General features: G+C 38.9%; 1 annotated feature.

Moving 5' to 3' along the window:
- Positions 600–894: a silencer, noted in NCBI's record as "tiled region #6480; HepG2 Repressive non-DNase unmatched - State 24:Quies, and K562 Repressive non-DNase unmatched - State 24:Quies". NCBI's record gives its function as "represses a minimal TATA promoter and a strong SV40 promoter by Sharpr-MPRA in HepG2 and K562 cells {active_cell/tissue: HepG2 | K562}" and the evidence as "EXISTENCE:reporter gene assay evidence [ECO:0000049][PMID:27701403]".

Here is an 8,799-nt window from a genome sequence, read left to right as displayed (position 1 = left end):
GATAGATATCTTTATATATAGATATATATCTTTATAGATAGACAGATGATAGATAGATATCTTTATATATATAGATATATATATCTTGATAGATAGATGATAGATATCTTTATATATATATCTTTATAGATAGACAGATGATAGATAGATGATAGATAGATAGATAGATAGATAGATAGATGATAGATGATAGATAGATGACAGATAGATGATAGATAGATAGATAGATAGATAGATAGATAGATAGATAGATAGATCGATCTTATTTGGGGAGCATATCATCTGTCTTGACTTTCTCCAGCCTCATAAAACCTGAATAACTGACAAACCTCTACTTCATTTTACAACATCTAGATGCAGAATAAATACACATACCACTCCAATTTAAAATGTTTTACCTCCCAAATGCAAATATTTTCAGTATCTCCTGTAAAAATATGACCTTGAGTTTTTAATTGTTGACTTGAAGACTTAGGATATTTCATATCGGCAGCAATTGAAAGAATGCTATTCATGTTAACCACAAGAGGCTTAAGAGAGTGAGCTAACTGCTGCATCCGCATTCTTGGAGCCGTCTGATAACAAAAGAGGCTGTTCCGCTGCTTGATGGCAGCAGGGGTCTGAGGGCTCTGGCTCTGGCTCTCTCACCGAGACTGTCAGGCAGAGAGGTGGGTCATGGGGCAGGGCTGGAGCTTCTGGACTCATCCATGACTTCTGACTTTGAGAACGAGGAACTCAGCGCCCACAGAGAATGAGATCAGCTGCTTTTAAGGACACTCTGGTTGTCAGGCTCAATGAACACCCACATTAGACATCGCTGGACAGGCAAGGAAAAGGACATGTGGTTCCTATGTTGTCTCCGAAATACTGACTCCACAGGGACACTTGTAGACATATTTTCCCAAAGGCCTTCCAAGGGAAAGAAGGCTGCTTGTTTTCCACAAGTTCGGTTAGTTTCAGGACACTATAACTTCCAAATAAAGTTACCTTCCCTCTGAATTCGAATTTGTTCTAAGGCACTGGGTTTCATATGTTCTTCAGACATTAAAAGTGTCTCCTCTAAGAGCACAACACATTTTTGTTCAGACAATTAAAGAAAAATACTTTAAGGGATTATTTTATTGTCTTTAAAGACCTCCAGGCTTTCAGAAATTGTATCTTTGAAGAAAATCTGTGTGTCCTGAGTTCCATACTATTCATGTACTCATGAGTATCCATGAGTCTTCAAATTTTGAGATACAGAATTCTTGTTGTGGCTGCAAAATGAAAGAAAAGCATAGCCTATCTTTTTTTTTTCTTTTTTTGCTCTATACTACATCAAAAAGCTTAGTTTATAGAGCCCCCAATATTTTATTGAACACCATTTTAATTAAAGTGGTCAAAGCAATTTGTATCATGAGGACACAGCAAAAATTGAGATGACCATGAATCATGTCACTTATCTATGACATTACCTTTAACCATAGATTTAAATCTATCTTTGGAGGTTTATCTTCAAAAATCTAACATAGAAAACATATACCCATAACCTCACTGACTGAACACTCGCTAATGTTATAACCAAGTTTAATAATTTTATGAAGATAAAGTCTATCTTTGTGAAAGTGTCATGAAATTTACCCATCATTAATATTAGACTGTCATTAATGCAAAATGAAAAGTTTTCATTTTAGGCCAATTTCACAGAAAAGGAAAGAAATTAAACCTCCTATTTTCTGTCTGAATTTGTATGTCCAGAATCCCTGCTCTGTTTTTGGTTATATTAATTTTATTGACTCTGACTAGCACCTAGGATGATTCACACCTACCTTTTGCTCCAGCAGCCTTTTGACCACCTTTGTACTGAAGATCAGTCCTTGGAAAGTAGCCTGCCTACCAAACCACTGGTAGTTATGGAAACCTGACTTATACGCACACTTTGGGGCTTACTTGCTCTAGATCTCAACCCACTTGGCCTGAGATACCAGCAGATTGACAGTTGCAGTTCGCCTGTCTCAAGGCTAATATTATTAACATATAGATGGAATTATTAATCCCATCTGTATTACAAATAGCATTTAGTTGATTCATATTTGAACCTCTGACTAATGACATAGATGAATTACATATCTCACCGTTACGATAAAATTTTTAACTTACTTCTTATCAATAAAGTGATGTCTCTTAATGATTATGTTAAGGATGAAATTAAACTATATATTTTTTACACATGAGGTTAGAGTTAGGGTGAGGGTTAAAGGATCTATTTAATAACAGGAAACTTTACGGCATATTAGATGCAAGATACACAAATTATAAAAGATAGATATCTCATCTGAACTTAAATACTTAATGCAAGTACCCTGTATTTTTAATTAATTTCCTTTTAATCATTTGCCTATATTGTCTCAAATATATTGTCAGCTGCTAGAAGACAGACTGTACCCTGCGCTTCTTGTTCTTTGCCTTGCACTTAACCAAGTATCTGCTCAGAGTGTGCACTCAGTACCTTGTATATGATATGCTTTATATTTACAGTTTCTGATTATAACAAAAATCAGCTGGGAAAGCAGGTATTGTGATATTTTTAGACACTCAGTGGGAGAGGTCGAGTGATTGCCTGGAGTCACATAATGTGTGGGTGATGAAGCCGGGATTCAAAAAGGTCTGTGTGTATCTCAAGGACTGACAGACCCCATGTGCCCCACTGGGTGCTCTTACCCCCAATAAGTTGAATCACCAATTAGAATGAGGCTGGAATACTGATAAATTTTTTTAAATACTTCCAATTTTAAATATTAAATTTTCTTTGATTATGGATTCCTCAAGACTATGGATACAGTTTAATCCTTGTGCATCTGGCTTATGAATAGAATGAACTAAAATCTTAAAAAGTCATTAATACCATTTCTATCAGTTAATCAGCATAGCAGAGATTATATTAAAATTTCTTAAACAGCTATGTTAAAATGTTAAAAAGAAATCAGAAAGCACTTGCTATGTATATTATTAGCACCTCTTATAAACACTATGTATAAACATGTTAAGGGAGATAGATTGGAAAGCAATTATAATTTACTCAGTTTGAGAATCTTGCTCTACACACTAATGCAAAGATCAAATCCATTTTCTTAATGTTGGATTTGGAGTTAACAACTGCAGTAGCATATGGACATTCACATGTGTAGATTAAGAACTATATCACTATACACCAGCACTTTTATTCTTTTCAAAACAGACAAGCTTCTGTTTCTTTTGTTCTTAAAGCTTTGACACTCATTCTATCTTGAATTTCCATCTGCACAAACAGAGTTTTTCTGTTTAGCCACGGTTAGGGATTCCTAGTGCCAAGTCCAAAACTCTACAGCGGGTTTGTCTAAACAACAGCTGTGCACGATGCCATCTTTCAGCAATAGTTTGTTCGCCATAAACTTATAATTATCTGCAGGTTATCAGATGTCCTCTTGGAGCAGGGCTGCCCTGGAAGCGTATGCACTAGCTAATTGCTTCTGAATTCTCTGCTCACTGTTTCCTTTACCCATCTGGAGGATCTTGTGGGAGTACACAAACAAAGCCCCTGGCTTCCCAGCAAGACCGTCAACACACCCTCTAGTCAGAGGTCACAAACTGGCCACCCTAGTGTGAATCTGGCTCCCAGATGGTTTTTGTTTAGTGGGCACAGCATTACAATTTTCTTGGCCCTCACTGAATACAATTGGTTCTATCCCCTAGATACTCAGGAAAATCAACTGGAAGCTTTTCATAAATATTTATGACTGATCTGGAATAGGATCTGGGCATCTGACTATTTTTCAATGTTTCCAGGAGATATTATTTTTTAACCATTTCACCTTTTATTTTAGATTCAGAGGGTACACATGTAAGTCTGTGATATGGTTATATTGCTTGATGCGGAGTTTGAGATACAAATGATCCCATCACACAGGTAGTGAGCATAGTACCCAACAGCTAGTTTTTCTATGCTCACTCTCCTCCCATCCCTTTTAGTAGTCCCCAGTGTTTATTGTTCTCATCTTCATGTCCATGAGTGCCAAATATTAAACTCCCACTTATAAGTTAGAAGATGCAATATTTGGTTTCCTGTTCCTGAGTTAATTTGCTTAGGATGATGGCCTCTAACTGAATTTGTGTTGCTGGAAAGGACATGATTTCATTCTTTTTTATGGCTGTATAGTATTCCATGGTGTACATGTACCACATGTTTTTTATCCAGTCCCATTGATGGACACATAGGTTGATTTCATGTCTTTGCTATGGTGAATAGTGCTACAATGAATGTACAAGTGCGTATATTTTTTTCATAGAATGACTTATTTTCTTTGGATATACACCCAGTAAAGAAATTGCTGGATCAAATTGTAGTTCTGTTTTTAGTTCTTAGAGAAATCTCCAAACTGCTTTCCACAGTGGATGAACTAATTTACATTACCGCCAATAGTATGTAAGCATTCTCTTTTTTTCTTCAGGAGATTTTAACGCCAGTCATGATTGAGAACCATTGCAGTCTACATTTAGAAAAGAACATCATCAACAACAAGGGTTTCTGATATAAACAACAAGATAAAGCTGAAAATATCTGAGGATGAAGACAGGTGCAGAAGCCACCCTGGCCCAGACTAATGATGGCTGAATAATTCCACATGGGGCATCTGGAAGAATCAAGAGAGACAGGGCATTGTTTAGAACCAGACACTCAGAGGCAATGTCTTAAAGGTGAGAACAAACAACAGAGCTAGACTTTCTCTGAGTCTGACTGACAGTGTCAAGGAATATATGGCCAGTTCTCTACAATGGAGACAGCACCAGGAGAGAAAGATCTCAGAACCAAGTGAGATGGAGTAGGACATTTACTGAAGAATAGAAAACCAGAATTAGGGAAGCAGAGATAAGACAAGGACCCAGTGGTGAGAAAAAAAGGCCAAAAAGGTAAGGAATCGGGCTGATGGAAGAAGTGGCTCGGCCAGGCGCGGTGGCTCACACCTGTAATCCCAGCACTTTGGGAGGCCGAGGCGGGTGGATCACGAGGTCAGAAGATCAAGACCATCCTGGCTAACACGGTGAAACCCTGTCTCTACTAAAGATACAAAAAATTAGCCGGGCATGATGGCACACACCTGTAGTCCCTGCTACTCAGGAGGCTGACGCAGGAGAATGGCGTGAACCCGGGAGGCGGAGCTTGCAGTGAGCCGAGATCGCGCCACTGCATTCCACCCTGGACAACAAAGCGAGCTCCGTCTCAAAAAAAAAAACATAAAACAAAAAGCAAAAAAAAACAAGTGGCTCAGGACTGAGGTGTAAATGATGAGGGTTTGATCATGCTGTGTATGTATTCTAGGAGTGGTTGTTGCCACTTAAAAAGGGATATAATTTGTGCAAAACATCTACAATCAGAATCAAGGCAACAAATCTGTTGCAATGGTTTAATATAAGCAGCAAAAAAGATGAACAGAACATCTGTTTCTATCAGAGACCTTTGTCTTCTGAATAGCTGCTCTTGAGACTGGTGTACTAGGTATCAGTAGTGGCAATTAATGAAGGCAACATGGAATAAGCAACAAGTTTTCCAGTAAATGGACAATGTAGCATCAGAAGTTAGATGCTGAGTCAGAAGGATGAAGTCACTCCATTGGAATCGCCATACCCAAGTCTAGACCTGAGCAATATCATGAAATCCTTCTGATGAAGAAAAGGGACCTGATTTGTTGGTTATTATTCCTATTGTTATATGGTCATGTTAGTTATCTATTGCAGCATAACAAGTCACCCCCAAAGTGTTGTACTTTAAATTAAAAATACGTATATTATGTCACAGAATCTTTGAGGAGCAGGGATCCAGGAGTGGCTTAGCTAGTGCTTCTGGCTTGGGTTATCTCATATGGTTGCACTCAAAGGTCTTGGCAAAGGCTGAAGTCATCCAAAGGCTTGAGTGGGATAAAGGATCTGCTCCTCAGCTTATTGCTGGCAGAGGCCTCAGTGCCCACCACGAGGGTCTCTCCATAGGGTTGCTCACAACATGGCAGCTGGCTTCCCCTAGGGAGAGAGACAGAGAGAGAAAGAAAAAGCATAACTAAGACAGATCTTTTATAACCTAACCTCTAAAGTAACCTACCATCATCCTTGCCGTATTATGTTGGTCACAGGCCAACACTGGTACAATGAGGGAGGAGTGATATAAATACCAGGGTATAAGTAACAGGAGGTAGGACTCCATCTCAGAGACTGGCTACCACATTGGTTATTGCTGTTATCTTTATTTATAATTTCTTTGGTGTCTCAAAAACATCCACATTGTAGAAATGAAGATACTAGGATTCTGAAAGACTTTTTTTGTTTGTTTGTTTTTGTTTTTTGGTTTTTGGTTTTTTTTTTGAGACGGAGTCTCGCTTTGTTGCCCAGGCTGCAGTGCAGTGGCGCGATCTCGGCTCACTGCAAGCTCTGCCTCCCAGGTTCACGCCATTCTCCTGCCTCAGCCTCCTGAGTAGCTGGGACTACAGGCGCCTGCCACCATGCCGGCTATTTTTTTGTATTTTTAGTAGAGACGGGGTTTCACCATGTTAGCCAGGATGGTCTCGATCTCCTGACCTCGTGATCCGCCCGTCTCAGCCTCCCAAAGTGCTGGGATTACAGGCGTGAGCCACCGCACCCGGCCTGAAAGACTTTGAACAAGGTCATGTTGCTGGTAAGTTGTTCTTAGTTGCTGGGGTTTTCTTGGTCACAGTGGCTTTGAACTCAATGACCAATCATAAATCTTCTTTTATTACTCAGTGGAAGTTCTACAAAACTGCAGTAGAATAAGAAAGACATGGACTGGAAGGTTTTCTCAATCTGCTTGAGCCTGGCCAGCATATCTGGCTTAAGCCCATTTACTTATAAGGAAATTTCCTTGGGCAATAAGGAAGCAGCTGGATTAAATCTTTTGTCCATGCCATAAATCAAAACTATTCTGTTGTCTCTACTGATTCTCAGAATAAGGCCTCCGGGTTTAAAACCTCACTCAGTCTTCTATCTGAATGAAATTTACAAATATGATTTAATGCTGTTTAAGCTCTAAGGAAGCTAAATTATGCATGTATAGGTCATTCGAATTATAAAGACATAATTATAGGATGACAAAATTTAGGAGCAGAAATGTATTTAGAAAATTGATGAGAGGTGGAAAGAGGAAAATGGCAAGAAAAGGAAATGTAAAATATAAGAAAAGGCATGTGTGAGGGGAATAATGATGCAACCAATTGCTTCAAGTGACACATGTTATAGACCACCTGCCATAAACACCCCCTGCACTTTGGAGTGAAGCCTCAGGCTGCTCCTGCCAGTCTTCTGTATTTGATCCTTATTTTATGAACACGTTCTTTACAAATAACCTCTTTGATTCTTTTTTTTTTGATTAAATGAGACATAGCATAAATTTTTTTAAATGCCCTCAGCCATTTTAATCCCTTCTCATGGGAATTTGTGTGCATCCTGCCTCTAGATATTTTATGCAAATATAAGAAATTTTGTATTTCTTGTTTTGATATTCTGTATCAGACAGTAATTTTTCCTTCTTTTTCTACAAATGATAATGTATTGTACATATAATTCTACGTGTTTTCTTTTTTTTTTTTGAGACGGAGTCTCGCTCTTTCGCCCAGGCCTGACTGCAGTGGCGCTATCTCGGCTCACTGCAAGCTCCGTTTCCTGGGTTCATACCATTCTCCTGCCTCAGCCTCCTGAATAGCTGGGACTACAGGCGCCCGCCACTGCGCCCAGCTAATTTTTTGTATTTTTGGTAGACACGGGGTTTCACCATGTTAGCCAGGATGGTCTCGATCTCCTGACCTCATAATCCGCCCGTGATAACTTTTCTAATCAATATTTCTTGGAGATCTTTATGTGAGTTCAAGACAAAAACCTTCCTTGTTCTTTTAAAACAGGTGAATAGTATTCCATTTGGGTCATTTAAAATCTTTTGCTATATAACCACTGACTCAAGGTATGACCTTATACACATGCCATTTTATAGACAAGGGTGAGTAGAAGCATAGGGTAAGTTCTTAGAAGCAGAATTGTGGGTCAAGTGGTATGTGCATTTATAATCTTGGTAGATTTTGCCAGATTGTCTTCTTAGAGTGGGCACTAGTTTCTGTGTCCACCAGCACTGTATGAAAGTGTCTATCCATTCACAATCTTGCCAGCACAGCATGTTCTCAAACATTTGAGTCATTTCCATGCTGATAAGTAAAAATGGTATCTCAATTTCTATATAGTGTTTACTTATATATATTACCATTTTTTTTACTGAGTTGCTGATCTTATTCTTGCTGATTTGTTGGAACATTTAACATATAACAAAATTAGGTAGGGCACAGTGGCTCACGCCTGTAATCTCAGCACTTTGGGAGGCCAAGGCAAGTGGATCATTTGGGATCAGGAGTTCGAGGCCAGCCTGGCCAACATGGTGAAACCCCATATCTACTAAAAATACAAAAATTAGCCTGGAGTGGTGGCGTGCACCTGTAATCCCAGCTACTCGGGAGGCTGAGGCACGAGAATTGCTTGAACTCAGGAGGTGGAGGTTGCAGTGAGCTGAGATCACACCACTGCACTCCAGCCTGGGTAAAAGAGCAAGACTCTGTCTCAAAAAATAATAATAAATAAATAAATAATAAATAAATAAATAAATAAATAATTAGCCCTTTGCCTGTAACATGAGTTTTAGTCATTTTCCCCTCATTCATATGTCTTCTGACTAATGACTTCTGAGGTTTGCAGCTGCCTTAGTCAGCTCTGGTTGCTATAACAAAATATCATAAACTA

This window comes from Homo sapiens, chromosome 1 (assembly GCF_000001405.40).
Source record: "Homo sapiens chromosome 1, GRCh38.p14 Primary Assembly".
NCBI classification, from domain to species: domain Eukaryota; kingdom Metazoa; phylum Chordata; class Mammalia; order Primates; family Hominidae; genus Homo; species Homo sapiens.
Note: the sequence above shows the minus strand (reverse complement) of the source record. Positions and strands in the feature narration are given on the sequence as shown.